The sequence below is a fragment of the Homo sapiens genome, chromosome 10, assembly GCF_000001405.40.
Source record: "Homo sapiens chromosome 10, GRCh38.p14 Primary Assembly".
NCBI classification, from domain to species: domain Eukaryota; kingdom Metazoa; phylum Chordata; class Mammalia; order Primates; family Hominidae; genus Homo; species Homo sapiens.
The window spans coordinates 109,397,026-109,415,413 of NC_000010.11; the positions used below are offsets into that span (position 1 = coordinate 109,397,026).

General features: G+C 37.2%; 1 long non-coding RNA gene across 1 annotated transcript; it reads right to left on the reverse strand.

The window, feature by feature from the left end:
- Nucleotides 1-3,989: 3,989 nt before the first annotated feature.
- LOC107984182 (uncharacterized) lies at nucleotides 3,990-14,987 on the reverse strand. The gene is made up of 3 exons (XR_001747307.2): nucleotides 14,820-14,987; nucleotides 5,485-5,572; nucleotides 3,990-4,063 (listed from the first exon to the last, which is right to left on the reverse strand). It is a non-coding gene; the product is annotated as an uncharacterized LOC107984182 (long non-coding RNA).
- Nucleotides 14,988-18,388: the final 3,401 nt, after the last annotated feature.

Genomic DNA, 18,388 nt, shown 5'->3' on the forward strand with positions numbered 1-18,388 from the left:
ACCAGAAATACAAAGAGGAGCTGGTACCATTCCTTCTGAAACTATTCCAAACAATTGAAAAGGAGAGACTCCTCCCCAACTCATTTTATGAAGCCAGCAGCATCCTGATGCCAAAACCAGGAAGAGACACAACAAAAAAAAGACAACTCCAGGTCAATATCCCTGATGAACATACATGTGAAAATCCTCAATATAATACTGGCAAACTGAATCCAGGAGCACATCAAAAAGCTTATCCACCACGATCAAGTCAGTTTTATTCCTGGGATGCAAGGCTGGTTCAACATACGCAAATCAATAAACGTAATCCATCACATAAACAGAGCCAAAGAAAAAAAACCACATGATTACCTCAATAGATGCAGAAAAGGCCTTTGATAAAATTCAACATCCCTTCATGTTAAAAATTCTCAACAAACTAGGTATTGATGGAACATATCTCAAAATAGTAAGAGCTATTTTTGACAAACCCACTGCCAATATAATATTGAATGGGCAAAAGCTGGAAGCATTCCCTTTGAAAACCGGTACAAGACAACGATGCCCTCTCACACCACTCCTATTCAACATAGTATTGGAAATTCTGGCCAGGGCAATCAGGCAAGAGAAAAAAATAAAGGGTATTCAAATAGGAATACAAGAAGTCAAGTTGTCTCTGTTCGCAGATGACATTATTTTATATTTAGAAACCCCATTGTCTCAGTCCAAAAACTTCTTGAACTGATAAGCAACTTCAGCAAACTCTCAGGATACAAAATCAATTGCAAAAATCACAAGCATTCCTTTACACCAACAATAGACAAGCAGAGAGCCAATCATGAATGAATTCCCATTCGCAATTGCTACAAAGAGAATAAAGTACCTAGGAATACAGCTAACAAGAGATGTGAAGGACTTCTTCAAGGAGAACTACAAACCACTGCCCAAGGAAATAATAGAGGACACAAAAAAATGGAAAAACATCCCATCTTCATGGATAGGAAGAATCAATATCATGAAAATGGCCATACTGCCCAGAGTAATTTATAGATTCAATGCTATTCCCATTAAACTACCATTGACATTCTTCATACAGTTAGAAAAAACTACTTTACATTTCATATGAAATCAAAGAAGACCCCATATAGCCAAGACAATCCTAAGCAAAAAGAACAAAGCTGGAGGCATCACGCTACCTGACTTCAAACTATACTACAAGGCTACAGTAAGCAAAACAGCATAGTACTGGTGCCAAAACAGATATGTAGACCAATGGAGCAGAACAGAAACCTCAGAAATACCACCACACATCTACAACCATCTGATCTTTAACAAGCCTGACAAAAACAAGCAATGGGGAAAGGATCTCCTATTCATTAAATGGTGCTGGGAAAACTGGCTAGTCATACACAGAAAACTGAAACTGGACCCCTTCCTTACACCTTATACAAAAATTAACCCAAGATGGATGAAAGACTTAAATGTAAGACCTAAAACCATAAAAATCCTAGAAGAAAACCTAGGCAATACCATTTAGGACACAGGCATGGGCAAAGACTTCATGACAAAAACACCAAAAGCAATTACAACAAAAGCCAAAATTCACAAATTGGATCCAATTAAACTAAAGAGCTTCTGCACAGCAAAAGAAACTATCAACAGAGTGAACAGGCAACCTACAGAATGGGAGAAAATTTTTGCAATCTACTCATCTGACAAAGCTCCAATATCCAGAATTTACAAGGTACTTAAATGTATTTAAAAGAAAAATCAAACAACCCCATCAAAGAGTGGGCAAAGGATATGAACAGACACTTCTCAGAAGAAATTTACATGGCCAACAAACATATGAGAAAAAGCTCAACATCACTGATCATCAGAGAAATGCAAATCAAAACCACAATGAGATACCATCTCACACCAGTCAGAATAGTGATTATTAAAAAGTCAGGAAACAATAGATGCTGGCGAGGTTGTGGAGAAATAGGAATGCTTTTACACATTGGTGGGAATGTAAATTAGTTCAACCGTTGTGGAAGACAATATGGCAATTCCTCAAGGATCTACAACCAGAAATACTATTTGACCCAGCACTCCCGTTACTGGGTATATACACAAAGGATTATAAATTATTCTACTATAAAGACACATGCACACACATATATTTATTGCAGCACTATTTAAAACAGCAAAGACATGGAACCAACCCATATGTCTTTCAATGATAGACTGGATAAAGAAAATTTGGTACATATACACCATGGAATACTATGCAACCAAAAAAGGAATGAGATCATGTCCTTTGCAGGGACATGGATGAAGTTGCTGTGAGCCGAGATTGCGCCATTGCTCTCCAGTCTGGGCAACAGACTGGTCTCAAAAAAAAAAAAAACCCAACAACATATAAAGAATACGTATTCAAATTTGGAACATACCTGGAAATACATGAATGAGCCACCAAATAGCTACTGAGCCTCTCCAAAGCTGGGCAGCTCCAATGAGAGTGCACTAGTGTTCCTTATGGTATTGCAAGCAACCTCTGAAAGCCCTGGCTCTGTGTCCCCTGTCCTCTTCCCCCTCAACTTTTTTCTCCTGCACCTCAACACAGAGACAGAGGACCTTTTCTCTACTTCACTTTGGTTGAGCTCACAAGCCAAAAAAGATCCATTCCTGTACTTTTAAGGCTGCAGAGAATTTTCCCACACAGTCTCACAGTTTCCAAACTCAAATAACAGACTCAATGACGGTTCTAAATTCCTTTTCACAATTCCCTATGTGAAGGAAAGTGACACCTCTTCATATCACAGACCAGAAGCTATGTTGTTGAGCCTTGAGGTTTCTTAGTCAGATAAGCAAATTAAATTCTAACAGTAGCTCTGAGCTTATGGAGGGAGAGGAAGATCAAAATCATGTGATTTGATTTCAATGTCTTTGAAATGCAGTTCAAAGACCACCATATCAGAATCACCTGTAGGATGTTGAGACTCCCTGATCTAACTATTGAAGGTGATTAATAATGAGAATGTCAGAAGATAGATAATAGAAACTGTGCTCCATAAATCCTTTCCCTCCACCCAAAGACATACACAATTATCTTTGAAGAAGATATCTCTATCAGCTCAATTGTGAGCTGGATAAACCCAGCCCCAAAACTCTTCCTGCCTTGCAAATGTGCACCCTGGAGAGGGGCTTCCCTCCAGGATCCTCTCTTCCTTTGGGCCTTCCTGGCTTCCTAGATGGATTCGTGTGGTTGAACTTATTTTTCTGACAGATTTCCTTGTCCTTAACTATAAATAAATGCCTCTAGGCCAAATTGACTTTGATGATATAGTATGCATGGAAAAGAGAGAAAAAAACATCTCTAGGCCCTAAACTTTATTGTACTGTCTCCTTTTTAAATTTTTTTTTAATTTTAAATTGGCAGGTAATATGGCTCTCAATAGCTTATCCATTTGTTTAAGATCATTAAAAGAAAAAAAATGGCCAATATTAAATCCTGGGCATAAACATGACCAAAAAATAGATGAATGCTGACACTCATTTATAATACTGTAGTATTCTGTATAATGTAAGTTTTTCAATCTTAAGCAGGAGACATTTGATGACTCTAATAGTGTTCTCTTTACAGCTTTTACTCCCTTTCTGTTTCAAAACTGCTGATTTTTTTAAAATCCCAGGCTTTCTTATAGTTGCATTGCAACACAATTCTCTAAGTTTCAAAGTCAGGATCCACTTGGATGATGCTTGGTTCGTTGTATGGGCACTCACAGCTGGTGGCAAACAGGGCAGTCAAAGACTCACGGAAGAACAGCATTGGAATGCCTGCTCCCTGCTCTCTGCGGAAAGTCTCCACCACAGATATGCAAGAGGTAGTGCTTTGGCTCTAACTCTCTAAGAATTTGTCTTAATGATAATAATCTTATATATCACAGCATAAAAATTAAGAAATTTCTAGTCACATACAACCAAATCTCACTCCCATCACTCCATAGTTGTGAAATCTGGGGCACTTACTTGACTTCTGTGAGCCTCAGTTTCTTCATCTGTAGACTATAAGTGACACCAATACCCACCTCACAGAGTCCTGGTGAATATAAAACAACATAAAGCTTGTGTTTAGCAGAAAGCCTGGCACAGACCATGTACTCTGTAAATGGTGATTACAGCCATGCAGCTGTCTGTGTTCTCCTTCTTCTTCTTCTCACTGCCTCTTGCCATTGTGAAAACACAGAAGTGCCTTTGGCTCCACAGGTAACCCAGACCAAAGGCAGAGGGAATCCTGCTGTTTGACACTTCAAAATCCACCTGAGACTCGCCCTGTGGTCCATAACTAGCTTCCTGACATTTCCAGGGCCTCCTCTTCTCACCTTTCCACCCAGTGGACACCTGCATTGGCTTTTTAACTCATCTTTATTTCTATAACTTAGTGATCCCCATGATGAAAGCCCATTTAGAAAATAATAGTGTTTAAAAATTATTTATCACACGTAAAGTATAAAGACTGAAGTATAAAGTTTCATGAAGAAACTTTAAAGTTACCAACTTAGAAGTAATGATCTGTTTGACAACACTGAAGAAAAATATACGTTTTTCAAAGGGTCAAAGGAGAAAAAAATGATAATATGAGGAAAAGATATAAGGGATTTGTTTGAGGGATGAAAATATGAAGAGGACTTGTGAATTTAAAAGTGACTGCAGTCTTTTGTTCAGTATTTCTATGAAAATATAGACATTTAGTACCTTTGTTGGCATGCCTTACAGGATCTATAAAACAGTGTCTCTACATAAAATGTTCTCTGATTTCATTTGGATAGAGCTGTACTTATTAATTATAATATCGAGTAAATACTATATTTCTAAAATATGGTACCAATAATGATACTTAATTTCAAAAATCATTGGAAAAGCTTTCACATGTGAGGAAAGCCATGCTCCTCTCTATACACATGACAGTCTACAAACTGTTCCAACAATAATTCATAATGGCTTATTCATACTATCCAAAAATTAGAGACAACCCAAATCAACAGTCCATCAACTGGCAAATGGATAAACAAAGTGTGGTATATTTAGCAATAAAAGGAAAAAGATACAGATAAATCCTATAATATGGATGAAACTCCAAAACACTGTTAAGTGAAAGAAGTGAGACACAAAAGAGCAAACACTCCATTTGTAGATTGTATTTATATGAAATATCCAGAAAAGGCAAATCTACAGAGGTCTGTAAATTAGTGGCTGTCTGGAGGTGGGAATGGCAATGAGTATTAATTGCAACTTAACACAAGGAATCTTATTGGGATGATATAAATGTTCTAGACCTTACTTTGATTGTGGTAATGGTTGCACCATTTAATAAAGGTCATGGAATTGTATACTTTATGGAATGTAAATTATACCTCAATAAAGTTTTTTTTTGAAAAAAGAACACCCTTTATGAATATGTCCCTATGACTTGGACAGGTTGTGTCTTGAAAGGCAATATATTAATAAAACAAAACTTACCAGACTTCACTCACTGACATCAGAAGTTTCCGTAATTATTAGTTTCTGGGCATCTATGGCTTGATTCCGACATCGTCTTCTCCATCTGCTGATCAACATTCCACAGAAAAATTCACCCTCTTGTGTATACAAATCTGCCCAGCACCTCTTTTTCTCTTCTTTGCTTCCTCCCTAACAACATTCCAAATCACGTTTTTGTACACCCTGACAAATAGCCCTAGGGTTTCATGACACCAAAAAGAGATCTGGAAATTTAGTGTATGTACATCTCAAAGAGATCAAAATATAAAGCTGCTCACATATTCATTGCTCTCTTCTCCTAAATCTATTAATTCTCAGCCCCAGTGTGATTTGCAATGTCAGATTTCTTTTAAATCACTTGCTTTCCCTCTAGGATTTCCCTATTTCAACAGATGTTGCCCTCCATTTCTATTTAATACCTTCCTTTGCACATTGCTTTCTCTAAGATCATGAGCTCATAGATAACATGGCATAAAGTCAAATGTGGTCCCCTCTTTCACTGAATAATGCAAAGGTTGAAGTCCCGTCTACATTACTCTAAAGGTGCCCCAGACACTCTCTGTGACTCAAAGGGCATTGCCTCTTTTCCTCTGGGAATGTCATTCCAGCTACAGTAAATAAAAGAAAATCAATATGAGTGTCTATGATCACCTTCTGAAGTCAAAGCATTTAAAGGAAGCTGTCATCAGTGCTGTCCGCAGCCCTCAGGGGTAAAGGAGGTACATTCATAGATCAGAGCCAGCTGGAGGCTCATGAATGCTGAGTAGAGGGATAAGGTCATGCAGTTCTCCACCCTTTCTTCCTGACCCCATCATGTCAGTGAGCAACTTCAGGAGATACTGATGATAGTGGTCACATCAAACAACTACTCTTCTCAACCCTACCTAATGGGACAGTGGAGTCTCATTGCCTTTGTCATGGTGTTGCCTTTTTAGATGAGGTACTAAATCAAACAGGAAGAGCCAAAGCCACCAGTTGCTGATTCTTTTGATACTATAACACTGTTAGAGTCCAGTGCTTGACAGGTGGCTGGGGTAGGTCTCAGCTCCATCTTCACTGCCATTAACTAGACCCCTCCACCCCCAAACACCTAGATACACACATGCACACACCTGTGTTCCAAAGATCCAGGACAGGGAGCTCTCACTGCAGTGAGGACAACAGCCCCACAGCTCTCCACACAACCTCCACGGTAAACTTTGAAAACAGATGTGTCACTCCAGCTTCCCTGACTCAGACTGAAGTCAAACCTTCACACTGTGCCCTGTGCACTCCTGGTGATCTATCTACTAGCTCTCAGACCAGGGTAACTTCTGAAAGTATTGAGAAAGGGCAACAAAAGTGAGTGATCTGTTACCTTCCTACGTGGCTACATCCTGAGAGATTTGTCCTGGAAGGTGTTAAGCAGGCCCTCAAGCATTAAGTCCCCATTAGTCTCTCCTCCTGCAACCTATGTGTGTTCCTTATTCATATCCAGGATAAGCCTAATATTTTTTTCTAACTTGAATTTTCCCTAACATGTAGAAAATAAGCAACAACTCCGGGACTGAAATAAAACTTAATTCACATCTAAAAGAAGCATAATTTCTTCCTTGAGAAAATGCATAATTTTCACTCTGATAGTTCTAGCATTTGATTTTTTTTGCACCTTTTATCCCAATATCTTAATTTTTAAACCAGCCTGGCCCAGAGAAGCACATGACATGAAAGCAAAGCAAGCTCCTTATGGACCTAAGCAATCAACATGCTGTGGAGGGGGCAGTGCTGCCCCCACGCTGCCCCCCCAACTACCCCCCCGAACCCCCAACCCCCACCCCCTCGTCCCTTGCTGCTGAGTGAAATTCTGCTCCCTGCTCCCAGCTCATTTTCATCCCGTCCCACAAGCTCCCAGGTATATAGTTTCTTCTTCTGTAAGTGCCTCAGTCTGCCTCAGAGAAACATAGATATTTTTGTATACCTGGTGAGAAAGTGGGTTAGAAAGAGAACTCCTGGAAGAGAACTCACAGATAGCACAGATCAGGCTATCACTAAGCCCTAAGAATCCAGACTACAAGAGCCAGTGCCCAGTGGGAGACTTGGAGCCTTGGGACAAGATTAGGTCCTTCTGAGGAAGCCACAGTAGTGACACCTGGATCAGCAGGGCCCAGGGAGCATTATATGTCATCTACCCAGGTCCATTCATGAGCACACGAGACTCTCCTTGGGAAACCAAAAATAGTTCAGAGTGCCGTCAGCATAATTAGGTCTGATGGGAGATGCAGGGACAAGGGACAGTGATATGTGTGATTGTGACCCAACTCAACAGGCAGGCTGGTTTATCTTGGGGAAGCCAGGGCTACATTTAGGATAAAGCCATTGGACCTAGTTCTACAGTTCCTAATCCAACCAGTGCCACAGAGTCTCTTAAGCAGTGTATAACTGCAAATATCCAATACCAGCAGTCAAAAAAAAAAATTCTGATTCAATAGGTTCAGATTAGGTATCTGTATTCTTATCAAGTTTCACAGGTGATTCTTACAGACTGCTAGGGCTTAGACTCATTGAACTAATGTTTTTGTGTGTTTGTCTGTTTTACAAATTTTTATTTGCTGTTTGCCTATTTGTTTATCTATTTTAAATTGTTTTCAATGATCCAGTATCTACATTCAGGGCCCATCATGGTTTACCTCTAACTTTCAATTTTATATCATTTTTGGAAAGTGCCTTGAAAGGCTGAAAGCCCATTGTGTGAAAGTTCATGACCTTGACTATCCCTATGTAAGGAAAACCCCCTGAGGTAAGTACAGACACATTATTTCCCTCGTTAAATGTGTCTCATTTCTTACCACCATGAATGGTATCTCTGTATATGAATTTATTTTTATTCTTCACTATTCCCAAACATTTAGTTAAACAATCCCATTCAGCGACTAATTTTAGACAGAATTCTCAAAAGAAGATAAACAAGAACATATTGAGTAATGAAATCCCACTGTGGCCAAGTTAACTGGTGGATATCTGCCAATGCTTGGTTCTGATGCCCAGCCCCATACACTCCTTACAGTCAATCCCACAGAATTCATCGGAAGAAGACTTCAATGAAAGGGAGCCAAGTTAAGGAAATGGGAGATCTGAACCATGCCTTATTCAGAGAAAAATCAATCCAAAGAGAGAATAGGAAAGAAATAAAAGAAATAACAAAGACTAGAGCATAAATAAACATAATCAAAAATATAAAAACAATGGAGAAACCAACAAAGCTAAAAATTGGTTCACTGACAAGGTCAACAAAACTGACAAACTAAGCTAGACTGACAAAGCAAAAAGGAAAGAAGATTCAAATTATAAAATTCAGGAATAAAGAGGGGACATGACATCACTACTGATCTTATGGAAATAAAAAGTATCATAAGAAAATACTATATACAGCAGTGCGTCAAGAAACTAAATAACTTACATGAAATGGACAAATTTATAGAAAGATGTAAATTACTAAATCTGACTCAGGAAGAATTAGAACATCTGTAGTGATCGATAACAAGTAAAGAGATGAATCAGTAATTTAAGAACTTCCCATAAAGTAAAATTCAGGCCTGGATGGCTTCATAAATGAATTCTTATAAAATGTTCAAAGAAGAATTAATACCAATCCTTTGCAAACTTTTCCACAAAATAGAAGATGAAGAAACACTTCTCAACTCATTCTACAAGGCCCATATTATCCTATTATTATTCTGATACCAAAGCTAAACAAAGCCATCATAAGAAGAAAAAATAAAAACCAATATAGATTCAAAGACTCTCAACAAAGTACTAGAAAACTAAACGCAGCAATATTTAAAAAGGATTATTCATTATGACCACAAGGGAATTATCTCAAGTAATGCATGGTTTGTTTAACACATGAAAGTGAATCAATATATGATACAACGTTAATGGAATAAAGGACAGAAACCACAGGATCATATCAATTGATACAAATTTATTTTATAAAATCCAATGCCATTTCATGAGCATTATATTCAGTAACCTAAGAACAAAGGAGAACTTCCTTAATCTGAAAAGTGGCATCTATGTGAATAGTGAACATCATATTTAATGGTGAATGACTTAATGCTTTCCCCCTGAATTAGGAACCATTCAAGAATGTCCTCTTTATCAATTCTATTTAACCTTGTATTGGGGGTTCTACAAGGAAAATTTGGCAATAAAAAGAAACAAAAGGCATCCAGATTATAAAGAGAAAAGTGAAACTATATTTGCATATGATAGGTATATCACAGAAAATCAATTTAAATACTGTTAGTAGTACCAGTAATAAAATAAGTACTAATAAAAGCTAATTAATACTAATCAACTAATAGGTCCAGCAAGCCTGCATAATACAAGGTTAATATGGAAACATCAATTTTATTTGTACACACTAGCAATGAATATTTTGAAAATAAATTTTTTAATTCCATTTACAATAGTATCAAAAAGAATAAAATTACTTAGGTATAAAATGAACAAAAGCCATGAAAGACTTATACGCTGAACATTATAAAGTATTATTGGAAGAAATTAAAGAAGAACTAAATAAGTGGAAAGGCATTCCATTTTTATGGATTAGAAGACTTAATATTGTTAACATGACAATACTTCCCAAATTGATCTGAGATTCAAAACAATCCCTATCAAAACTCCAGCTGCCCTTTTTGCAGAAATTGACAAGCTTGTATAATATTGATAGAGAAATAAAAAGAATACAGTATAGCCAAAACAATCTTGAAAAAGAACAGAACTGGAAGACTGACATATCTCAATTTCAAAAACTACAATCTGATTAAGACAGTATAGTACTGTCATAAAATAGATATCCAGACCAATGGCATCAAATGGTAGGATCCAGAAATAGACTCACTCATACATTTATGTTCAATTGATTTTTAACAAGAAAGCCCAGACAATTCAATAGAGAATCAATAATCTTTTTAATAAATGGTACTGGTAAAACTGGATTTGTCTCATTAAAAAGAATAAAATTGAACCCCTACTCATACCATAATCAAAATTTAATTCAATGGCTTTTGTTAAAAAGTCAAAAACTTACAGATGTTGGCAAGGCTGTGGAGAAAACGGAACACTTACACACTGTTAGTGGAAATGTAAGTTAGTTTCATCACTGTGGAAAGCAGTTTGGAGATTTCTCAAAGAACTAAGAGTTAAACTACCATGCAACCCAACAATCCAACTACTGGGTATATATGCAAAGAAAAGTAAATTCTTCTACCAAAGTCACATGAACCCATATATCCATCACAGCATTATTCACAATGGTGAAGACATGGAATCAACCTAGGTGCCCATCAATGGTGGACTGGATTAATAAAATGTGGTACATATACACTATGGGAATTCTACACAGCTATAGAAAAGAAAGAGATCATGTTGTTCACAGCTACATGGATGCAGCTAGAAACCACTGCCCTAAGCGAACTGACACAGGAACAAAAAACCAAATATCACATGTTCTCACTTATAATATAAGTGGGAGCTAATATTGGGTACACATGGTCATAAAAATGGGAATAGTAGACACTGGGGAATACAAAAGTGGGGAAAGAACGAGTAAGGATTGAAAAAAATTACCTATTGGGTACTATGCTCACTACCCCGGTGATGGATTCATTCGTATTCCAGGCTTCGGCATCACACAATATCTTCGTGACAAACCTGCATTTCTATCCCCTAAGTCTAAAATAAAAGTTGAATAAAGAAAAAATAATAAATAAAAACAGTTCAGAGGCCTAAATGTAAGAAATAAAAACTAGAAAACTCTTAAATGAAAACATAGGAGTAAATCTTCATTGGGCAATGGTTTCTTATATATGATGCCAAAAACATAGCAACAAAAGAAAAAAATGTTATATTGGAGTATATCAAAATTGAAATGTTTTGTGCCACAAACAATATTATCATGAAAGTGAAAATACTCCCCACAGAATGGGATAAAGTATTTTCACATCGTATATCAAATAAGGAAATTGTTTTCAGAATATGTGAAGAATACTTAATCATAAAAAAGCAAATTAAATAATGAGTGAATAATTTGAATACGTATTGCTCCAAAGAATATATACAAGTGGCTAATAAGCACATACAAAGAATCTCAACATCATTAGTCATTAGAGAAATACAAATCAAAACTACAATAAGATGCCAGTTTAGATCTAATAGAATACTATAATAAAAAAGAAATATAATAATAAGTGCTAACAAGGGTATACAGAAGTCCGCACCCCCATGAACTACTGGTGGAAATGCAGAGTAATGCAGCAATTCTGGAAAAAAGTTTGACAGTTTCTCAAAATGTCAAACATAGAGTTACCATATGATTCAGCAACTTCACTCCCATATATATGCCCAAAAGAAATGAAAACATACCCACACAAAAACTTCTACATGAACGTTCACAGCATATTTATTCCTTATATCCAGAAAATGGAAAAACCCAAATATTCCTCAACTGATGAATGGATAAACAAAATGTGGATTATCCATAAAATAGAGTATTATGTTGCAATAAAAAGGAATAAAGTACTGATATACGCTACAATATAAATAAACCTTAAAAACACTGTGCCAAGTTAAAGAAGAAGCCAGTCACAAAAAGCAAAAGCATATTCTGTGGTTCCATTTATGTGCAATATGAATGGGCATATTTTAGAGACATAAATTAGATTAGTGGTTGCTTAGGGATTGGGGTGTTTTTATAGGAGAGAATGGGGATTGATAGCTAATGAATATGGAATTTCTTTTAGATGAAAGAAAAATATTCTAAACTTACATCGTGTGATGGTTATGCTGTCCTGTGAATACGCCAAAAAGCAGTAAATTGTATACTCAAAGTGGGCAAATTATATAGAATGTGAATTATATTTCAATAAAGCTGTTGAGAAAAAAGATTCAATGTGCCATATATCTTATAATGGTTTTATTCCATGAAAGGGCATTCATAGCCTTTATTCATTATTATGGTTATGCTATTGTGATTGTGATTTTTTTCACACAATCACAAAGCAAATATAATCACAAAGCTATGACAGTTTCTGTTTCATAATATTTGAAGCTTGATTTAACGTACTTTTGACAGTTCAAACCTATTTGCCAAAGTTACTGCCACTGAAATAAAAAAAGAGAAAAAAAGAAAAAAAAATTTGCTAAACAAGCTTTTCTAAATAAAAAAAAAAAAAAAAAGAGGCAATTTGTTTTCACTCTTTTAGTCCAGGGGATCTGACTTGATGTGTTTTCTGAGCTGCAAGTTCTTCTGTTCTAACCAGTATTCTGCTGCACGTGCCAGGATTCATGCCAAATATTTTGTGTAGCATTTCTAGAAGGTACACATTAAAATTCAGTTCCGTGAAAAAAGACATTTACTGTTTGTTTCCATTCTGGATCAGAAAATGGCCAATGCCATTAGGAAGGAAGAATAACACATTACAGCTAAAATAAATACTATATCCATGAGCCTGGAAAACAACCAGCGTTGGTGAACGAAAGAGACTGGATTACAGATGACAGAATCCATAGGGGGCTCTGGAGTTCAACTCCACTGTTGTTTATCACAGTTTAAGAGGTGGCCCAACTTGAGGCACAGGTGTTGAGCTTTTATAGTGCTGCAATGATTAGTCATTGGTTTGGGATCATAAGCAGAGGACTGTAAATTACTAAGCATTCCCTGCTCTGGTCTAAGAGGCTCTAGTAGCCCAAAGGTAATCCTCTAGAGAAAGTTGCAGGTGTGATTTCCTGGGAGAAGTACACAGAAGTTAGAAGCCATGCACCCAGAATTAATAAAGATGACTAGAAGAGACCTGGGCAGAGTACCTACAGACTACAATGTTTACAACGATAAAGAAAAAAATAAAACACATACCACAGTACCAATTAGAACTAAGCTAAAAATCTCAGTGCTGTACTCATTACCTGGGTGGCCCTAGGCAAACTACTTCTCATTCCTGAATTTCAGTTTTCTCATATGTAAAATAGAAAGGTTAATAGCATATACTTTATAAGTTTGTTATAAGAAACCAATTAGAAAATATATGCAAAACCATTTAAAACTGTATCTTAACTATAATAGCTACTAAATAAGTGGCTATTATTGTTACTATCATCATCATTATTCTTTCCTGGGCTAGAATAGTTCTTTGAATTAAACAGCATAGTAAATCTGGATTTCTTGACACTTCTTTACATCTAAATCTCAATCTCCTCTGGTTTTAAAATATTTAACTCTCTGCTCTGTTTCTCAGCCTTAGGAAATGTCCTCCTCTTCCGCATCTTCCTCCTTTCCCTCTCCTTGTTGCTTGACCCTCAAGTCTGTGTCCCCCTGACCTTGACTTTGGAAGCAGTCAATTTAGACAGTACCAGGCCAAACCATGAGAATGTGACTCCAAGACTAATGGATTGTGTCAGGTATCTGCATTCTGAAATTAATAGAAATACCACCAGCTCCCAGGAAGCCCTGCCAAAAAGCAAAGGTGAGAAGGACTTCCAGCAGCAACAGTGCTGCAGTAGTAGGGCCTTGATTAAGGTCAGCAAAGGACTGACTGCAGAACAGGACTTCTAGGGCTCAGGCAAAGAAGAAAAGACTTGGTAAGTTGTAGAAATTTTAAAATGTGATTTCATGTCTTCGCTGGGTAAAATTGTTTTTTATCTGAATGATAAAGGATGAGATAACATCTAGGACATGGTGTCACTCAGATCCCCTTCGGCAGCCAGGTTTTTCTGTTACCTTAAGATCAAGACCTTTCAGAGAAACCCTGCTTCTCATTAGCCCCACCTCCTAAGCTGTTAGTCAAGTATTTTTCTCTGGAAAGGCAAGGTTGTCCCATTTGCCCACTTTGTTAATTCCTTTGTGAGATGTCATTTGTGCCAGGGAAAACAGACCCCAGCTCCACATAACAGCTTCTCAGAACCAAGTTTTCCTCTGCCCAGAACTCATGACAAAGGCCTCCAATGGGGTACTTTGATGAGTCAGCAGGAGAAATATTGCCCTTTGACTCTTTTTCTTGATGTCAAGGTGTCTAATAAATAAAACTCCTTGAAGATGAAGGAAATACCAATCAAACTATACTAAACCTGAGAGTGCATTTCAGGTTAGAAGGGAAAAATTATTTTGAGACTATTCTTCTCTTATTGTATATTAATCCATTGGTCTCCATTTTTACTTATTATAAAATGCAAATTTAATATAGATTAGAACTTTCTCGCTGAAAGATGGCTCTAGGAGGAATATCAAGTAGATCAAAATTAGTTTTTACGTGGTAGCTCATTGCTATTTATTTGCTTACCAATTGCTCTTCGCTTGGCAGATAAGGTCCCCGGAAGCATTCAAACCATCTCCCAAAAGCCTTCGACATCCAAAAAGAGATAGTGCTAGAATAAACTGATCTTGAACACCCAGGCAGGCATGCCAGCATTCAACCTACAAAGACGTCAGTGGTGAGTGGAAATGTAGCAAAGAACAAAAGTACTCAACCTACTTGTGTTCCCAGTGGTCATGTGAATAAGCAGCACGGGAAGCAGCCACCAGTTACCAGTGTTCAACTCTGCTCCAAACCTAGGGAGAGATGGACGGTAGGGGTCAGAGAAGGTCCATGACATGACACATTCCAACTTAGCCCTTTGTTTCTTTACTGGCAAAAAGCAAACCTATGAAAAGAATAAGATTTATAGACACAACACAGGACTTCTGTTGCTTTTGTATAAAATGTCTGAGTACAAAAAGTAAAAAGAGCTGCAATTTCAGATGCCTCTGAGGCCCAGTAAATCAAAACACCAAGCAATCTTGTTTGAGAAACTATTATGTCTCCTAAACTGTGCTTCTGACTATGGGGATTCAAGATGCTATTTTCAAATAATGTACAATCTAGTTGAGATGACAAGACTAATCTGTATGAAAATATCAGGGCTTAGAGTTTGCTGCAATAAGAAAGAACAGCCTGAAGTTGTCAAAAAAGATGCTGCAGCCAACAGGAGTGTGGGTAACTGACAAAATTCTGCAAAACAGTTCAATAAATCATCTTCTTTGAAAGGTGCTTATAAAATAGAAAAACAGGCTGCATCTGGTTAGAGGTCCCATGATTCAGATGGAGGCGCTACAGCATAGTGGACAGTTGGTCAACCTGAATTGGACTTGGTGTGACAAAGAAATTAAGCTGTCAGGGATCTTTGGTTCATGCAGCAGAATCTAGCCTATTCTGATTACTAAAAACACTGTGTGTGTGTGTGTGTTTTGGTTTTGTTTTGTTTCGTTTTAGCAAAAATCTCAGGCCCAATTCTAATTCTACTTGTTTGAGTCTTGTGCCTAGCCTAGAACCATCCTTTGGACTATTCATACCCCAAGAGACCAATATGGGAAAAATCATTTGGTTGCATTACATGTTCCAGTTGCCCATTAATGGCCTTTTGGTAGATAAATTACCATATAGCCCTGCCATTTTCCTGCCAAATTTATCTTCAGCTAAAATTACTTTTTTAAAAAATACTGTAGAGTTGGGAAGTTAAACTTCAGGAATTATGATTGTATTGTTTTGGTGTAATAAATCATCAGCATTAGTCCCATTTGAGGGCTAATTTTCATTACCAAGTATCTTTTTTTCTCTTAGTAGGAAATATTTCTATCCTGAGACAATAGGGAAAAAACCTATCCTATGCATTCTGCAGTGAAATCAGAGAGGAGATCTTTAAGAGCATGTGGCTTCTCTTACTTGGTATTTTTTTAAATTTTTTTTTAGAAACAGGGTCTCACTCTGTAGCCCAGGCTGGAATGCAGTGGCATGATCATGCTCACTGCAGCCTCAAACTTCTGGGCTCAATAGATCCTGTCGCCTCAGCTTCCCAGGTAGCTGGGATTACAGGCACACATCACCACCCCCAACTATTTATTTTTAGTTTTTATTTTTTTATAGAGACAAGGTCTTACTTTGTCATGCAGGCTAGTCTGGAACTCATTGCTTCAAGTGATCTTCCTGCCTCGGCCTCCCAAAGTCCTGAGATTACAGGTGTGTGCCACCCCACCCCAGACTTAAAAGCATACGGTTTTTCTCACTTTGCATGTCAGATTCCTTAGGAAATGTTTACTGTCACAATTGGCAGTGAAAAAAAAAAGCATATGGTTAGCCTTAAAATCATATGGTTTCTCTCACTTTGGATGTCAGATACCTTAGGAAATTTTTACTGTCACAATTGGACAGAATCTCAAAGAAAAGCTCCTATCATAACAAATTCTTCCTATTGTCTGCAGCCACATTTTCTTTATGCTTCAAATGATGGGAAATGGGAACTGCACTGGTGCTCTAAAGAATACCAAAAAATTTAAAATAAAACAATTATGGGACTTGGAAGATAAAATGTGCAAAACTATATGCCCGGATTAGTAATACAGTGTTATTATTGAAATCATTCACGTCCACAACAAACATGAAATAAGAGTACAATGAAATCCTATATATGTCTTATCTCAATTCACCACTCTTAAAATCATCATCTTTTAATTATTTTGACTGTTCCAGTTATTCTGAACTTGGCCAGTAAGGACCCCTTCAAGACAACTCTTCATCCATTTAACATGACCCTCATTAATCTTTTAGTACTTCCTTGTTTTCTGTCTCAATAAGATGTTTCACGGTCATTTTCTAATCTCTGCTCCAAACCTGGAATAAGGCATCCCAAAGAGACAAAATTATTTTTAGTGAGGAATAGTCTTTAGAAATAAAGATCTGAGTGCCACAGAAGCTAAGAGTTCAACAGTACTATTTAATGTTTCATAGTAAATGTTTAGAATGTATTTTTTTATTATTATTATTATACTTTAAGTTTTAGGGTACATGTGCACAATGTGCAGGTTAGTTACATATGTATACATGTGCCATGCTTGTGTGGTGCACCCATTAGCTCGTCATTTAGCATTAGGTACATCTCCTAATGCTATCCCTCCCCACTCCCCCCACCCCACAACAGTCCCCAGAGTGTGATGTTCCCCTTCCTGTGTCCATGTGTTCTCATTGTTCAATTCCCACCTATGACTGAGAACATGCGGTGTTTGGTTTTTTATCCTTGCGATAGTTTACTGAGAATGATGATTTCCAATTTCATCCATGTCCCTACAAAGGACATGAACTCATCATTTTTTATGGCTGCATAGTATTCCATGGTGTATATGTGCCACATTTTCTTAATCCAGTCTATCACTGTTGGACATTTGGGTTGGTTCCAAGTCTTTGCTATTGTGAATAGTGCCGCAATAAACATACGTGTGCATGTGTCTTTATAGCAGCATGATTTATAGTCCTTTGGGTATATACCCAGTAATGGGATGGCTGGGTCAAATGGTATTTCTAGTTCTAGATCCCTGAGGAATCGCCACACTGACTTCCACAATGGTTGAACTAGTTTACAGTCCCACCAACAGTGTAAAAGTGTTCCTATTTCTCCACATCCTCTCCAGCACCTATCTTCACAGAATTGGAAAAAACTACTTTAAAGTTCATATGGTACCAAAAAAGAGCCCGCATTGCCAAGTCAATCCTAAGCCAAAAGAACAAAGCTGGAGGCATCACACTACCTGACTTCAAACTATACTACAAGACTACAGTAACCAAAACAGCATGGTACTGGTATCAAAACAGAGATATAGATCAATGGAACAGAACAGAGCCCTCAGAAATAACGCCACATATCTACAACTATCTGATCTTTGACAAACCTGACAAAAACAAGCAATGGGGAAAGGATTCCCTATTTAATAAATGGTGCTGGGAAAACTGGCTAGCCATATGTAGAAAGCTGAAACTGGATCCCTTCCTTACGCCTTATACAAAAATCAATTCGAGATGGATTGAAGACTTAAACGTTAGAC